This window comes from Homo sapiens, chromosome 18 (genome assembly GCF_000001405.40).
Source record: "Homo sapiens chromosome 18, GRCh38.p14 Primary Assembly".
In the NCBI taxonomy this organism is placed as follows: Eukaryota; Metazoa; Chordata; class Mammalia; order Primates; family Hominidae; genus Homo; species Homo sapiens.
Window position 1 is genome coordinate 24,389,567 of NC_000018.10, and position 18,155 is coordinate 24,407,721.

An 18,155-nucleotide genomic window follows, 5' to 3' on the forward strand; every position below is an offset into this window, starting at 1 on the left:
ATGACTTGTTAAATTTGGTTGGAGTCTATTATTTTATCATTTGAACTGCTTGCTACTTTTCTTTAAAATTCCAGCTTAATATATACAGAATTGGCCAGGTGCGGTGGCTCACGCCTGTACTCCCAACATTTTGGGAGGCCAGGGAGGGCAGATCACTTGAGGCCAGAAGTTTGAGACCACCCTGGCCAACATAGCGAAACCCCATCTTTACTAAAAAATACAAAACTTAGCCAGGTATGGTGGTGCATGCCTGTAATCCCAGCTACTGGGGAGGCTGAGGTACAAGAATCACTTGAACCCAGGAGGCAGAGTTGGCAGTGACCCGAGATCGCACCACTGCAGTCCAGCCTGGGTGACAGAGTGAGACTCTGTCTCAAAAAAATAAAATAAAATAAAATAAAATCTATAGAACCAAGATAAAAATTCCTACAGAAATCAAAGATAATAAAATTCAACAATAAGAGCCAATTCACCTGAGTGCCAGAAACTGAAAATATTTAACAATGTGCCCTTTTCAGGAATAGAGTTCTTAAAGGTATTAGAAAAGTTAAAATCTCAGACATCCAGGCTCAATTCACCTAGTCATACATATAACAACATGCAACTGTAAATCTTAAAACATCAGAGAAGTATGGGGGTTCCTCAAAAAAATTAAACACATAATTACCTATGATCCAGCAATTCTACTTCTGGGTATATACCCAAAAGAACTAAAAGCAAGGAATCAAACAGATATTTGTATTCCCATGTTCATAGGAGAAGTAACCTAAACGTCCATTGACAGATGAATGGAAAAACAAAACGTGACATATACAAGGGAATATAATTTAGCCTTTAAAAGGAAGGATGGGCGTGGTGGCTCATGCCTATAATCCCAAGACTTTGGGAGGCCAAGGCAGGCGATCACTTGAGGTCAGGAATTCGAGACCAGCCTGGCCAACAGACCACGGAAACCCCACCTCTATTAAAAATACAAAAATTAGCTGGGCATGGTGGCACATGCCTGTAATTCCAGCTACTGGGGAGGCTGAGGCAGGAGAATCACTTCAACCTGGGAGGCAGAGGTTGCAGTGAGCCAAGATCGTGCTACTCTACTTCAGCCTGGGCAACAGAGTGCGACTCCGTCTCAAAAAAAAAAAAAAAAAAAAAAAAAAAAGTCATTAAATTAAAAAAAATTGAAATCCCAAATATTGTGTTTCTCATTTTCCATGCTCTTGCTCTCCAAATTTCAGCAGATTCAGGTAACTTTTTGGCCAGGTGCAGTGGCTCACGGCTGTAATCGCGGCACTTTGGGAAGTTGAGGTGGGCGGATCACCTAAGGTCAGGAGCTCGAGACCAGCCTGGCCAACATGGTGAAACCCCGTCTCTACTAAAAACACAAAAATTAGCCTGGTGTGGCGGTGCGTGCCTGTAGTCCCAGCTACTGGGGAGACTGAAGCACAAGAATGGCTTGAGCCCGGGAGGCAGGGGTTGCAGTGAGCCGAGATCCCACCACTTTGCACTACAGCCTGGGCGACAAAGCAAGACTCTGTCTCAATCGATTGAGGAAGGAAATTCTGACACATGCTAGAACATGGACGAACCTGGAATACATCATGCTAAGTGAAATAAATCACTCACAAAAGGACAAATATGGTATGATTCCACTTAGATGAGACAGCTAAAATAGTCAAAGTCATACAGACAAAACATAGAATGGTGGTTGCCGGTGGCTCGGAGAAGGGAGGAAGAAATAGGGAGTAATGTTTAACAGGAACAGAGTTTCAGTTTGGGATGGAGGAAAAGGTCATGGGGATGGACAGTGGTGATAGCTGTACTACAATGTGAATGTATGCAATGCCACTGAATAATACACTTAACAATGGCTAAAACAGGCCAGGTGTGATGGCTCATGCCTGTAATCCCCACTGCTTTGGGAGGCTGAGGCAGGAGGATAGCCTGAGACCAGGAGTTTAAGACCAGTCTGGGCAACACAGCAAGACCCCAGTCTCTACAAAAAAAAAAAAAAAATTAATTACCAAATGTCATGGTGCGCACCTATAGATCCAGCTACTTGGGAGGCTGAAGCAGGAGGACTACTTGAGCCCGGGAGTTCAAGGCTGCAGTGAGCTAAGACCATGCCACTGCACTCCAGCTCTGGGCCACAGAATGAAACTCTTTTTTAAAAAACAAACAAACAAACGACAACAACAAAAAAACCTAAAAGGGCAAATTTGATGTTATGTACATTTTATCACACACAAAAAATCAGGAAGCATCTAAAATACGACTGGCACAATTGCCAAATGGCATTTGTACTTTTTCTTTTTTTTTGAGACAGGGTCTGTCACTAAGGCTGGAGTGCAGTGGCACAATCTCAGCTCACTGCAACCTTCACCTCCTGGGCTCAAGTGATCCTCCCACCTCAGCCTCCCAAGTAGCTGGGACTACAGGCACACGCCACCATGCCCAGCTAATTTTCGTATTTTTTGTAGAGTCAGGGTTTCATCGTGTTGCCCAGGCTGGTCTCAAACTCCTAGGTTCAAGCGATCTGTCCACCTCAGCCTCCCAAAGTGCTGGGATTACAGGCGTGAGCCACTGCATCCAGCCAGCATTTGTACTCTTTTTATTTTTGAGATGGAGTTTCACTTGTTTCCCATGCTGGAGTGCAATGGCGCCATCTCGGTTCACCGCAACCTCCGCCTCCCGGGTTCAAGTGATTCTCCTGCCTCAGCCTCCCGAGTAGCAGGGATTACAAGCATGTGCCACCATGCCTGGCTATTTTATATTTTTAGTAGAGATGGGGTTTCTCCATGTTGGTCAGGCTGGTCTCAAACTCCTGACTTCAGGTGATCTGCCCACCTCGGCCTCCCATAGTGCTGAGATTACAGGCGTGAGCCACCACACCCGGCCCTATACTCTAATAAAGACAAAGGGAGACTATTCAAAAATTATTAAAAATATATGTTGCGATTAGTTTTTAAATTCTCAGATACTGATTTTATGAATGTTACATTAATATTTAAAATACATTGTATGCTAGAAATTTGAATGAGAAAAATTAAATGTCTATGAACAAACACATCCTATAAACTAAATCTTAAAAACATAAAAACCAGTACCGTGCTTAGCCCTGCGCTCCAAAGTAGTTAGCTGCTTTTTTGAAACAGGGTCTCAGTCAATTGCCCAGGATGGAGTGCAGTGGCACAATCGTGGCTCACTGCAGCCTCAAACTCCTGGACTCAAGCAATCCTCCCATCTTGGCCTCCTGAGTAGCTGGGACCACAGGTGCACGCCACCATACCCAGCTAATTTTTGTATCTTTTATAGAGATGTGGTCTGGCTACATTGCCCAGGCTGGTCTCGAACTCCTGGCCTTAAGGAATTATCCTGCCTTGCCTTCCAACGTGCTGGAATTACAGGCATGAGCCACCTCGCCCAGCCTGTAGTTAGCTGCTTAATGGTGTGTTTTCTCCTGACGTTATATTCTTTTAATACCAGCAAGGTATTAAAGATTAAAGTAACTACATAAAAACATGGCAATGGCAAAAAAAAAATACTTATTTGCTCTAACTATGATTAGTTGCTAGCAATCAGTAATTTCTCTGATGCAATCATATACCTACATGTATGTACATGTGTATACATTATGCACACATGTGCATAGATACACATATTATGTATACAGAAAACTGACATTTGTGATGACATAAACAAATGCATTTTTTGCTTGTTTTAGAAACTGAACATTGGTAAACGAATTCATTAATCTAACACTCTGATTCTAGAGCTGAAGCAACTGAAAAGCCCAAAGGCAAAGTTACTTGCCAAGTATTAACAGTAGAGTCACAGCCAGAATGTAGAAGGGGTGAAATAATGCAACGTATTTTATTTTTATTTATTTATTTTTATTTTTATTTTTTTTGAGACGGAGTCTCGCTCTGTCGCCTAGGCTGGAGTGCAGTGGCACGATCTCCGCTCACTGCAAGCTCCTCTTCCCGGGTTCACACCATTCTCCTGCCTCAGCCTCCCAAGTAGCTGGGACTACAGCTGCCCGCCACCACGCCTGGCTAATTTTTTGTAGTTTTTAGTAGAGCCGGGGTTTCACTGTGTTAGCCAGGATGGTCTCCATCTCCTGACCTCGTGATCCGCCCATCTCGGCCTCCCAAAGTGCTGGGATTACAGGTGTGAGCCACTGCACCTGGCATTGCTATGTATTTTATAAAATTCAATTCAGCTGCAAAAGTTAAATGCCATTGATTCTCATTAGTGTTCCTGTGTAAGCACTGAGGAATTTGAATCTGAATTATGTTTTGAGTGCCTCATTTTAAAAAGCTTTATTTATTAACTGAAAAGAATACCTAAAACATGGCAATTTAAGGAAAACAGGAGCAAATTATAAAGCCTATTTTGGGAAGCACTAACCTGTATCGTTTTAAGTTATAAGACAAAATTTTAATCACTTAATTTTTAATTCAGTGAAACTTTTTCTCTAACTTCCTCAATAAGTTTTTGTGCCCTAATAAAAAGCATTCATCTCCCACAGGAGAAATGATGGAGAATTGGCCACAATTATGTGTCATCTAATGGTTTATAAAGCATTGAAATCATAAAATGTTTATACCAAATTATTATTTACTTTATATTTGATAAATTTACATTACCTTCTCTTATTCATATCCATTCCATACCCACACCAACTTGGATACCATACGGACATAATAAAAAACCAACCATATCACCAGGTATTTATCTTACCCATATTCGGTTGGAAATTTTAATGTTTCTTAAAATTAGTAAAAATTAAATAAGCTTCATAGCTTTGCTTAATGAAGTTGTTTAAAATAACTTTGGTGCTATAATTTTAGCTGCTTTAACAATTAAGCACTAATTCCTAGATGCACCCCTGATTTGAACTTCAATTTGACAGATTCTGAAAACTATTTACTACTGTTTCAAAACAGAGCAGGTATGAAGAGCAGAGAACCCTACAAATTTAACAAATCAAGTTTAGTAATAAAAATCCTAGCAAGGAGGCTGATTGTTACCTTTTAATGACAAAATTCCCTAAATTTTAGAAAAATGCATTAAAATTTTCCCATTTCAATTATTTCACATTTGAAAATTATCTTTCAAACTCAATTAAACTCATGTATAATAATACTGACCATTTATGCATCACAGAAATACCTCTTTAAAGAAAAACTTTAAACACAAAGTAAAAACATGTGGTTACTTTCCATTGTCACATGATACGAAATTGTACAGTTAAAGACTGCTTTCACTATACAGTAATTTCCTACTTGCAGGCTGATAAATAAAAGTAAAGTGAGCGACCTAGTTTATCTTCCTAGTAATAGCATTAAAACTATTTCTTATACTAGCCCACCTCACACAGCCCCCTTAATACTGACAGTACCAACACAGAATTAGTGGCAGAGGCCACGTGAGGAAAAACATTTCTAGAGACCAAGAACATCACATAAGATACTTATATGACACCACAATCATAAATATACATACACTATACAGATTACCTGACAGTGTCTTTTCTTAAACTTCATGAATTGTTAGTATAAGCTGGTGACTGCAGTGCTAAAACCTGTCCTCTTTCTAGGAAATTCAGAGAACTTGCTAGGTCATCAAAAAAGCTCTGATTGCCAAAGTTCAGACTCAGCTTGGAAGAACTGACAAGGTTCTGAAGGATATCAAGTTTCTCACACGCACTTGATATCATATTCTCTCTTCTCCACTAAGTTATTCATTTGGCTGATTTCTACTTTCTGCCTACTACTTTTCTCAATGAAAACATATGATGTATAAAAGCTCAGCTTCCAGTAATGTCAAGAGGTAAGAAACTGACACAGTTCCACTTAAAAATATTATGATCAGATATACAGATGTATCTCTGAGTAAAATAAAGCCACAAGGAGAAAATTTGTAATGTATTAATATTTAACCGGCATTGTGCCATGTTATTACTCAAAAAAGACTGGCTGTATTCTTCAACCTAATTGTCGGTTCTAAAACAGTATCATTTCCCCTTGTTTTGAGGAAATGATGGGGAGAATTTTTTTTTTTCTTTTTTTTGTGAGACGGAGTTTCGCTCTTGTCGCCCAGGCTGCAGTGCAACAGCACGATCTCCATTCACTTACCATCTCCGCCTCCTGGGTTCAAGGGATTCTCCAGCCTCAGCCTCCCAAGTGGCTGGAATTACAGGCGCCCACTACCACGCCCGGCTAATTTTTGTATTTTTAGTAGAGACAGGGTTTCATCATTTTGGCCAGGCTGCTCTCGAACTCCTGACCTCAAGTGATCCGCCCGCCTCGGCCTCCCAAAGTGCTGGGATTACAGGCGTGAGCCATGGCACCCGGCCAGGAATACTTTTATAGAAATAATATCTGTGGCTCACACCTGTAAATCCCAGCACTTTGGGAGGCCGAGGCAGGCGGATCATAAGGTCAGGAGTTCGAGACCAGCCTGAACAACATGGTGAAACCTCGTCTCTACTAAAAATACAAAAATTAGCCGGGCATGGTGGCATGTGCTTGTAATCCCAGCTACTTGGGAGGCTGAGACCGGAGAATTGCTTCAACCCGGGAGGCAGAGGTTGCAGTGAGCCTGAGATCGCGCCACTGCACTCCAGCCTAGGCAACAGAGCGAGACTCTGTCTCAATTTAAAAAAAAAAAAAAAGAGACAGAGAAATCATACCTGACTGCTCTGAATCAAAGTCGGCTACAATAATACATGCAAAAATGAGCAGCCTCCAGAGAGAAGAATTAGCCACCCACCATAAGTTTCTGCTGATTCACAACGAGATATTTAGCAAGTATCATTTTCATAAACAACCTTCACAAAATACTAAGATAACAAATGTTTCAGATTAATCTACTCAAACTTTGGCAGTTAACTCCTATTTTGACTATCCGTTGCTCAATGCTGGAGAAGAGTTACACTGCCTGGGAGAAATGAAAAAGAATAGTTAAATTTTAAGAAAGGAATGTTACTGACAGTTTTCTCCTCTTTTCCCCCTATAAACTGTAGACAAAGCCCACCTAGTGGTTTAGAATTAGGGAATTAAAAGGTGGATTTTGTTACTATGCTGTAATTAAGAAATCTTCACAATTCCAGCTTGGGGTGGGGAGGGAGGGGGGTGGTTCAGAATTTATACCTATCAAACTGCTGCAAAAAATTCATTGTATCGGGGTTAGACTGCAAATACTTCTACCCCTCAAAACGAATCTGCAAATTATTTCCCAGATGCTGAGTAAAGAGGTGAGGAGGTTCCAAACTCCAAATCCAGAATGCACCTATTACAGGGCAAAGACTGAAGTTTTCAGGGAAAACACATCACCGATTTTAAAGCTGATTTAATTATATTATTAACTATTCACAGACACCTAATAGCCACATTTGCAACATTCAAGCAACCTTATTTAAGCTAAGAATATCACACTGCCCACAGTTCCATTTCACAATACCGTCTGCCTAAAAACGACAACTTGAACTGAAAACTAATACTAAATCAGAATAACCCTTTTCAATGCCTCCTGCCAATCATTAGGGCAGCGGGATAAGTGAATTGTTAAAGTCTATTGTGCAGCTGCGCTCTCATTCAGTTTCAGAATCTCCCTTGGATATTCGTTCATGCTTGTAGAACCGACCACGCGGTACATTGGGAAACGGTCACATGAACAATGCGTGACTTCCATTGTGCATCAATCCTCCTCTTGTTAGGAGGAAATTAAAAAGTCACATGGACACACGAAAGTACCGAGAAGGCACGCAGCTGAAGATCTGGTAGGGGATGCATGCGGCACCAGCATGGTCGTGGCACCCGAGTGGGAAGTGCAACAAACGCCAACATCTTGTTACTTTTAACGCCTAACTTCCTGCAGCGCTGGAGCAGCCAGCGGCCGCCGGGAAGCCGAGCTCGGCTGCAGCCCTGCGTCGCCGCGCCACGACCCGACCATCCTCTGAGACGCCCGGGACGGGAGCGCCCACCCCCAACCAGGCGCGGACAGACCTCCCGAGCGCAGCCCGGCGGGAACCCGTCAGCGCGGGAACCGGCCTCGAACTCCAGGCGTGGACAGCCGCGAGAAACTGACCTACGCGGTCACCCGGGCTCCCAGAGCTCCCGAGGCGGTGGCCACGACCCCAGGCTTCCCGTCCGCCCGCCCCACGTCGAGGAAGTGGTCGTCACCAACTCTGGCTGGCACTCCCCGAGGACGCTCGAGCCCGCGTAACGTCTGTCTCCGGGACCCGGCGCCGGGACCACGGCGGAGCGCGAGGTGGCGCCGCCCCTCCCCGCAGCCCGCCCCTGGAACGCGCATCCTCCTGGCGAGCTGGCATCCCTCCCGACACGTGACCGCAGCGGGGACACGCCCGTTCCCCGCCCACTCCCCGCCCCTGCCTGGCCTGCCCACGCCCCCGGCCCGCTCCTGTCCCGCCTGGGCCACCGGCGCTGGTTCCAGGTTTTGCCAGCTACTAGGGACGCGTAAAGCCTTCGCGCTCCTCCCACCACACCCCGAGGGAAGAAGTGGCAGGCCTTACCCGGAGACTACAAGGAACCGCCCGTGTGAGCCAGTGGAAGACTCGCGTCCCCAGGCAAAATATAAGTCCTGGGTTAATAGTCTGAAGTCTGTCATTAAGCAATAGGTTATCCAGCTGCCCAGATTTTTTTCTTTTTTGCTTTGGCTGCAACTCGACCCGTGGGAACTTAATTGGCAATGTAAATTAGACAATTTACAAAAAAACACCTCCTTTTACTTTCACCTGTGAAAGGAAGCGCTTAAAATGCCATACAGGTGTAACCATTATAGAATAGATATGCGTGAGACAAGGATTTACAAAATTTCCTCACCTCCTCTCCTCCAGATTCCATGCACAAGGCGTCTAGCTAGAGGAGTTAGCAAATAGTCTATAACGTGAAGGTTCAAACTCTAGTATAATTCCACCGTTTTTGTTTTTTTCTTTTTTTGAGGCAAGGTCTCACTCTGTCTCCCAAGCTGGAGTGTAGTGGCGCGATCTCGGCTCACTGCAGCATCGTCTTCTGGGTTCAAGCGATCCTCCGGCCTCAGCTGGACTACAGGCGGGTAATCAAGGGACTGGGACTACAGGCGCGCCCTGCCGCGCCCGGACAAGTTTTGTATTTTTAGTAGAGACAGACTCTCCCTATGTTGCCCAGGCTGGTCTCCAACTCCTGGGCCTCCCAAAGTGTTGGGATTACAGGCGTGAGTCACCCCTGCAGGCCACAGCTTTGCTTTTTAAAAGCATTTCTGCATAACTAAAAAGACAGGAAATTACGAGCATACGAAAACTGATTTCTGCTTTCCTGAATTTTCTAAATGTATTTAATGAACATGTTCTTTTGCAATGAAAAAGTAATAAATAGGTATCATTTTTAAAAGGACTGTAGTTTTTCCATCAAGTCTAGAAGCATGTATTGAGAACCTATAATAGGCCCTTTTGGTCATTGTGATATGTGTGAAACAGCATATGGCAGATCTTTTGAAATGATGTTTTTGGATACCACAAGCAATCCTGCTGGTGTATCTCAGGCTGGCATCATCTTTTATTAACAAAGCAGGCACTTTACTAGCACAATACTTCAACTGCAAAATGTGTGGTAACTAAAGCAGCTGTATTTGTCTGGAAAAGAAGAAACCTCAGGGCTTACTATCTAAGGATATTGAACCATCTTTTTTTTTTTTTTTGAGATGGAGTTTTACTCTTGTGCAGTGGTGCAATCTCAGCTCACTGCAACCTCTGCCTCCGAGGTTCAAGCGATTCTCCTGCCTCAGCCTCCTAAGTAGCTGGGACTATAGGTGCGTGCCACCATACCCGGCTAACTTTTGTATTTTTAGTAGAGATAGGGTTTCACTATGTTTGTCAGTCTGATCTCAAACTCCTGATCTCAGGTGATCCACCCACTTCAGCCTCCCAAGGTGCTGGGATTATAGGTGTGAGCCACCACACCCAGCCTTGAACCATCTTCATAGCCAAAATAAAACTACCGAAATAATGACAATAATAATTGGCTACTGAAATAATTTTCCATGATTCCATGAAAGCCTTCATTCTCTCTGTGATGATTTAATTACCTAAATTCACAACTTGCACTTTGCAACTCCCTTCTACAGTTTGCAAATGAAAAACAGATTGCAGTCAATAGGAGGATGAAGTAGTAATCACTACAGTTATCAATAAGAGAAGTTCCAATCTTGATAGCATTACTATTTATACTGTATCTTTAAAGGACTTTATTTGGTATTTCCATAAAATATGCAGAAAAGATATCTCATGGGCATTTATATTATTGACGGCTAGTACAGGTAAAATCACCATGATGGCATAACAGAATTCATTATTCTAGAACACTGTGTCTAATGGAACTTTCTGCGATGATAGAAATGTTCTATAATTCTACCTTGTCCAGTACAGTAGCCACTAGCCACATGTGGCTATTGAGTACTTGAAATGTGGCCAGTGTGACTGACGGTTTCAAGTTTTATTTAATTTAAATAGCCACATGTGGATAGCAGTTACCATATTGGGCAGTGCAGTTCTAGAATAACAAAACTATCACTAGATTGTCCCCGTCATATCATACTCTATTTTAAGAAACATTTGGCAGAAGTAGAACCTCTGGAACTAGTTAATAAATATTTTCCTTCATATTCCTTTCTGAGCTTTAGGCAGATAGATATTTTAACTTTGCAGATGCGGCATATTAAAGTAACTAGTAATATAATCCCTACATATATAAGTAGGAATTGCAATGGAAGCTCTGACTGGTTGTGAAATGGATTTGGGAGTATCTAACCCCTGGCCCTGCCATTCCCGGGCCTGCCTGACCCACATTGAAAAGTGAACCGGGTAACTTAAGACTGGGATGGGCTTCATCAGAATTGTTCATTGCCTGGTTCAGACTGGATTCACCTTGGACTCTTTTGTTTCAGGAAACTTAGGAGCCCAAATCTCTCTACTGTCATCCCCCTCCCCGCATTCCAATGACCTCCTTCAGAATGTGATCCTCTTTAGATTGTAGTACCTAATGTCTGGTCCTTGCAGTTTTGTCTCAAGCCTGAGACATCCCAGAATGCACTTAGTGCATTGCATGTTTTAAAAACACTCCCCTGGTGCCAGTGTGACTTTGAAGTGGTGCAGGAACACGCTAAAGGCTTAAGTCTCATTAAAAGGAGGATTTTATGGACTGAGACTTTGGGGAGGGCTTTGGGTAATTACTGCCTGGAATACTGAAAAGTAGGTCAGATGTCATCAGGCGAATGCAGATAAACCATTGAGTTGAGGGAAATGAATCATTCCCTTATACCTACATATGAAAGACTTTGTAGTTACTATTAACTCCAGACCATCAAAGCTATGAGGTCATTGGGAGTTTTTCTCTCTTAAAAGTGGTCTAAATTTGTTATTTGTCATTTGTGCCATTTCACTCAGTTTATTTAATAACAGGAATGAATTGGTATAGTTTCAGATATTAAATTCTTTTGGTCTAGACTTAATTTTGTACCCATCTCTCTTTTCCTGCAGGTATGACACACAGATGTCTAAGCAACTGCCTTCCAGCAGTGATTGATTTTGCTGGTTCCCCACACAAAAAGTTTGGAAGAGACCCTTATGTCTTCTGTAGAGTTTCTTGGTTGTAAGCAGCAAGCACTGGTGCTGGCTAACTTAAGCAAATAAAGAATATATCACTCAGACATCAAAGAAACAGCTGGAAATCTGGCTTGGCAAAGGCCGGATTAGGGCACTCCTGGGGATGTGGGTAGTAGGAATAGTCTATAGTTTTTCCTCAGTGCCAACACTGGGAAAGAATATGTTCCAATTATTTTCATTTTCCTATCCTTTTGTCTTTCTTCAGAAGAAGCAAAGTTGAGAGATAGTCTTTCATAGCTTTTCCCATAAGGTATGTTCTCCTTGGGCAACATTTTCAACTCAACCTTTAGCCCTTAGCTTGCTTTTTCTTTTTTTTTTTCTTTATTTTTTTTATTTTTGAGACGAGGGTCTTGCTCTGTCACCCAGGCTAGAGTACAGTGGCATGATCATGGCTCACTGCAGCCTCAACCTCTCAGGCTCAAGCAGTTCTCCCACCTCAGCCTCCCAAGTAGCTGGGACTACTGGCGCGAGCCACCATGCCCAGCTAACTTTTGTTTATTTTTTATAGAGACAGGGTCACACTATGTTGCCCAGGGTGGTCTCAAACTCTGGTTTGAGCAATCTGCCCACCTTGGCCTCCCAAAGTGCTGGGATTACAGGCATGAACCACCTCACCTGGCCTTTCTTTATTCATCATGAATATACCCTGCTTAGCCTGGTCAACATGGAGAAACTCTGTCTCTACAAAACAAAAATTAGCCAGGCATGGTGGTGTGGCCTGTAGTCCCAGCTACTGAGGAGGCTGAGGTGGGAGGATCACTTGAACCTGGCAGGTGGAGGCTGCAGTGAACTGAGATCACATCACTGCACTTCAGCCTGGGAGACAGAGACCCTGCCTCAAAAAACAAACAAACAAACAAACAAAAAAGAATATATTCCGCTTTTCTATCCCTAATTGTCTGCTCAAGCAGTGTGCCTGACAGTCACATGACCCCTTCTAGGAAGCCTTGGAAAGTCTGCCCTGCCTATTGCCCCTTTTTGAGGACTTCATTATGCAACCTACAATTCTTGGCTCAGCTGAAGGAGCAAGAGCAGGGCCTCCTAAATGGCACCTTTCTATTAGGCTTACCAAAGGCCTGGTATATGTGCTTTGCCCAACAGGAAATCTCTATACTGAGTAGCATTGAACCATCTAGATTTCTCTCTTGGGTAGGTTTAACCGTGACGCATGCAAAGGACAGTCCTTAGTCAAGGTAGATGCAGAAAGGCTCACAGAGGGAAGTGAGAGCAGAGAGTAAGCAGAAGCCATGGGACAGCCTAAAGGAGAATACAGAAAAGATGACCAGGAGCGGCAGAAGCAAGAGCAGAGAGAGAATGATTGAGACCCCAGAGTGCGGAAACACTAGGGTAGGGAGCAAAGGATGGCGCCCCCTGCTGAGAGGTCCAGAATGGTGGGCTGCAGTTAAATCTTCAACAACCTTCTGCAGCAGCGTGATGTCTCTGCTTTTATGTCTCTGTATTGTTGCAATAAATTCTTACTCTTTATCTGATGTAACCTGAGTGTTTTTCTATTCCTTGAGCCCAGAAAGAGCCTAATACACCATTACTACCCCCTTTCCTGTTCTCATCTCTCCCATTTTAATCTGTAACCAACAACCTTGTGGATACCTCCTTTCCTTTCAACAGCCATCTCTTCAGGGTCTCATGTTGTTCTTCGCTCTTCTGACTCTTCTGAAATACATCTCTTTTCCAGATACCTACTAACCACCGCTATCTATATCTCAGTCACCTGTCAGCACCTAATACAGGTCAAAGGCCCCATTCTCAATGAGTTACAATAGAAGGTGATTTTACTTTATTCACTGAAGTCACAAAGATCAAGGGTGGGAACTTCATGGGCCGGCAGTCTCTGGGCCTAAATTGGAAGTATGAACCAAATCACTGACTCCTGGTGTTAGATTTGTTAGAGTCCTCAGAAATAATCTAGTTCAACCTCAAGCCTAAAGCCAGACTGTCCTCAATCACATTAGGAAGAAGTTTTCCCACCCCTGTCTGTGGCTGGGAACTTTCCAGACAGGCAGGTCACTACTTCACAGTGCAGCCCAACCATTTGTTTTCCAACATTAAGAATGCGGGGCCAGGCATGGTGGCTCACGCCTATAATTCCAGCACTTTGCGAGGTCCAGGCGGGCAGATCGTTTGAGCCCAGGAGCTCAAGACAAGCCTGGGCAACATGACAAAACCTTGTCTCTACCAAAAAAAAAAAAAAAAAAAAAAAAAAGGCTGGGCATGGTGGCACACACCTGTAGTCTGAGACTGAGACCGGAGGATCACCGGAGCCCAGAAGGTCGAGGCTGCAGTGAGCCATGATCGTGCCACTGCACTCCAGCACTGGCAACAGAGTTAGAGGCTGTCTCAAAAAAAACAAAAATGTTTGAAGACAACAGTCATGAGCTACCTTGATATTTCTTTTCCAGGCTTACATTCCCCCATGTCTCAACCCATCTTCATGCTCCAACTAGTCATGGTAGTCTAACACAGTTAGACTAACACAGAATTAAACAAATCACAACTTTTTCTGTGAAGCCAAAGAGGGTAGGAAAGTCTTATCTTAGTAAGTCCTATTATAATATCAATTTTTCTAAACCTATGGCCTTTTTTCCATACATGTCATCTCTGACCTCTCCACTGCTGTCTGGTGGTAGCTAATTTTTCTCACTTAATAGAGACCAGGGGGAAGGAGGTGGTGGAGTTAGATTGGAGAAAGAAAGCAGGGAGTGCAGCAAAGAAGTTATACATTTATATACAAATTCCTGGCCTCATGAAGTTTATAATCTAATTTGGTAGGCAAAGTATACAATTAAAACTCATAAAAAAGACAAGCCATAACAGCCAAAAATGGTAAGTAAAATAAATTCTAAAGGATTTAGGAGGACTAGAATAGAGAAGACATTTAGAAGTCATGGTATTGGCCGAGTGCGGTGGCTCACGCCTGTAATCCCAGCACTTCGGGAGGCCGAGGTGGGCGGATCATGAGGTCAGGAGATCGAGACCATCCTGGCTAACATGGCAAAACCCCATCTCTACTAAAAATACAAAAAAAAAATTAGCCAGGCATGGTGGCAGGCGCCTGTGGTCCCAGGTACTAGGGAGGCTGAGGCAGGAGAATGGGGTGAACTCTGGAGGCGGAGCTTGCAGTGAGCAGAGATCACGCCACTGCACTCCAGCCTGGGTGACAGAGTGAGATTCCGTCTCAAAAAAAAAAAAAAAAAAGAAAAGAAGTCATGGTATTTACACTTAGCCTCAGCTTTGTATAGGAAACACCAGGAAACGGGAAATGAGTACCCTCAACATAGCACATTTGAGAGAAGCAGCAAGAAACAAAATATGAGAATATACTTTGAACAAGAGCTCAGGGCTATTTTAGTAACAGATTTTTGAATCGTCCACAAATATCCATGATGTTGTATAGCATTACCAATGGAAAGAAGATTGAGATAATGACATGTAAAGACTTAATAGACAGCCTTGGCAACATGGAAAAACCCCCATCTCTACTAAAAATACAAATCTGAAGTGGGAGGATCACCTGAGCCTGGGGAGGACAAGGCTGTAGTGGGCTGTGATTGCGCCACTGCACTCCAGCCTGAGCAGCAGAGTGAGACCTCATCTTAAAAAAAAAAAAAAAAAAAGACTTACCAGAACAGAGAGTTTGTTTTCATCATTGATTAATTCATTTATTCATAAGTCAGTAAATATATACATATTAACTTAGTAAATGAGATGATTTTGTGAGTGGATATACGTGCCAGACACTGTTTTAGGCTTGGTGAGAGATAAAAGATAAATCCAATAACAGTCCTTCTCTTCAAGGACTTAATCTAGAAATACAGATAAGATGAAATAAGACTTGTAAATCAGCAGGTATATGAAGAAATTAAAAAATAATAATAACCATGAGAAAAGTACAGATAAAGGAGAAATAAGAGGAAGAAAGTTTTTTGGCTTTGTCTGTTTTCAGTAGGGGATGATCAGTGAATGCTTTACAGAAAAGGTGAGTTTTAAAGTTGCAATGGTTTGAATGTGTCCCCAAAAAGTTCATGTATTAAAAACCTAATTGCCACTGTAACAGTATTAAGAGGTGGGACCTTTAAGAGGTGATTAGGTCATGATAGCTCCACCCTCATGAATGGATTAATGCTGTTATTTGGGAAGTGAGTTAGTTATCATCGGGGTGGGTTCCTGATAAAAGGATCAAGTTCAGCCTCCAATCCTGCTCTATCTCATGCTTGCACCTCCTCTCCACATGGTGCCCTTCCACCATTGGACGACACAGCCCTAATCAGATGCAGTGCTATGCTCTTAGACTTCCCAGCCTCCAGAACTGAGAGGCAAATACATTTCTATTCTATATGTTACCCGGTCTGTGATATTCTGTGATAGAAGCAGAAAACAGACTAAGACAAAAGTTAAATGCTTAAGATGGATAGGATTTCAACATATGGAAATGATTAGAGAACATGTTATGCAAATGAAATAGTATAAGCAAAACTGACCAAGGTAGAGGACTGTGGACACAAAAGGTAGAGGAGGACCTTGCACACAATAGACCACAATGCAAATGCATGAAACAAAACACTGACTGGATTCTCAGGAAGGCCCAACAATCTTCTATCCTTTGTCCTTCCCTAGTCAGTCCTGAGCCAAAGCTAGAGGGACAGGTAGTTGAAGGAGCCTTTGAGATACCCAAGTGTGGATGACAGATGGGAGTTCAGATGTAAATTCTGGACTAGATATATAAATTTGTGATCGTCTGTGTGGAGGTGACATGGCTTCATGTCACCTCCACACAGACGATCACAAATTTATATCCAGCAGAAGATGGTTTAGGGAGAAAGGGGAATCAAGTGAGGAGAAAAGGAGTTAGAGCTGTGCTTTATTTCCTGCCCTTCAGGTAACTTTCTTCACTCTCCTCAAATCCCTTTCCCATAGCTCCCTTCCACAGTCTCAACAGGTGACTTCACCTCTTACTTTACCAAGAAAACAAAAGCCATTAGATGAAGGCCCTCCAAACTTCTTACCACCAAACCAACAAATCTTTCAGCACCTATATAATTTCTTCTTTTCCCTTTTCTGTTAAAATGGAAGAGGGATCCATCCTAAGATTGGAGCTTCCACAGATGTTCATATAATTCCTCCCTTTGCCTCTTCAGCAACCTCATTCCATCAACTCGCTCTCTCCTAGATCTTCAAGTGCTCTCAAAATGTACCTGCTACATAAATGTTCTCTAATGTCTGCCATCTTTAAAAACCCTCCTGCCAGATGGCACCATTTTTTTCATTCCTCCTTCAGAGTTAACTACTTGAAAGAGTAGTCTACACTGGCACTCTCTATTTCCTCTCCACTCTCATTTCTGGTCCCACAACTCCATTGAAACTGTCCTTGCTGCCAGGCGCAGTGGCTCATGCCTATAATCCCAACAGTTTGGGAGGCCAAGGCAGAAGGATCACTGGAGCCCAGGGAGTTCAAGACCAGCCTGGGCAACATAGTAAGAGCTCATCTCTACATAAAAATAAACAAAAATTAGCTGAGCATGGTGGCACACACCTGTAATCCCAGCTATTCAGAAAGTTGAGATGGGAGGATCATTTTAGCCCAGGTGGTGCAGTGAGCCATGATCATGCCACTGCATTCCAGCCTGGGTGATAGAGTGAGACCCTGTCCCTCCCTCCTTCAGAGAATGCTCTTCTGTTAGTTTTCCTGAGCTCCCAGTTCTTGGCTCTTCTCTTAACTGTTGAATGTTCTGCCTGAAACTCTACTTCCCCTGGTACTCTTCTTAGGAGAGCACATATGCTTCCATGGCTACAATAACTTTCTATACACTCCTGTCTCCCAAGTCTCTAACTCAGGTCCCAATGTCACTTCCGAGCCTCTGACTCACACATCAATTAATGAAACTCAACCAAAAGTTCAATTTCTCCTCTTCCTCCCAACCTCTTGCTTTCCTTTTTATATTCTTTTTCTTGGAGGTAAGCACTCTCTTTCTCTATCCTCCCCATCCTGGCTTTCTCCCTGCCTCCACAACCCCAATCTATTCTTTACTTTGTAGCCAGATGACATTTCCAAAATTTAAATCTGATCTATTAATTCCCTTGCTGAAAATTCACTCTTTTTTTTTTTTTTTTTTTTTTTTTTGTAGAGACAGTGTCTTGCTATGTTGCCCAGGCTGGAGTGCAGTGGCTATTCACACATGCGATCATGGTGCGCACTACAGCCTCTAACTCCTTGGCTCACGGGATCCTCCAGCCTTAGCCTCCTAGTAACTGGGACCACAGGAGCACCACCAGTCCACTCCCAGCTTCAGCTCTACATCTTTTGGGACGTAGTCTAAACCCCTTAGCGTCATAAAGCCATGCGTATGTCCAGACTCATCTCTCATCACTATCACCATGGTATTTCACACTGTGGCAATTATGAACAACTTTCAGTTCCCAGTATTGATGCAGTATTTGATGCTTAGAGCCTTTGCCCATGTTGTTCTTTGGTGCTCTGAAT

General features: G+C 43.0%; 1 protein-coding gene and 1 long non-coding RNA gene across 4 annotated transcripts in view, besides 1 other annotated feature; one reads left to right on the forward strand and one right to left on the reverse strand.

Moving 5' to 3' along the window:
- The window catches only part of OSBPL1A (oxysterol binding protein like 1A), a 235,780-nt gene extending 227,522 nt beyond the window's left edge, over positions 1–8,258 (reverse strand). Inside the window, exon 1 of one of the 2 annotated variants that reach the window (XM_017025530.2) lies at positions 7,755–8,258. In XM_017025530.2, the coding sequence (XP_016881019.1) occupies positions 7,755–7,806 (52 nt within the window). In that variant the 5' untranslated portion in view covers positions 7,807–8,258. The remainder of the gene's footprint in view (positions 1–7,754) is intronic. The other variant, NM_080597.4, reaches the window with a different exon arrangement.
- The window catches only part of LOC124904268 (uncharacterized), a 42,640-nt gene extending 29,491 nt beyond the window's left edge, over positions 1–13,149 (forward strand). Inside the window, exons 1-2 of one of the 2 annotated variants that reach the window (XR_007066313.1) lie at positions 7,735–9,807; positions 11,534–13,149. This is a non-coding gene — a long non-coding RNA (uncharacterized LOC124904268). Of the gene's footprint in view, positions 1–7,734; positions 9,808–11,533 lie in introns of those variants that run through there. The other variant, XR_007066314.1, reaches the window with a different exon arrangement.
- Positions 8,192–8,321: a silencer, noted in NCBI's record as "silent region_9364". NCBI's record gives its function as "represses an Ori minimal core promoter by ATAC-STARR-seq in GM12878 lymphoblastoid cells {active_cell/tissue: GM12878}" and the evidence as "EXISTENCE:reporter gene assay evidence [ECO:0000049][PMID:35858748]".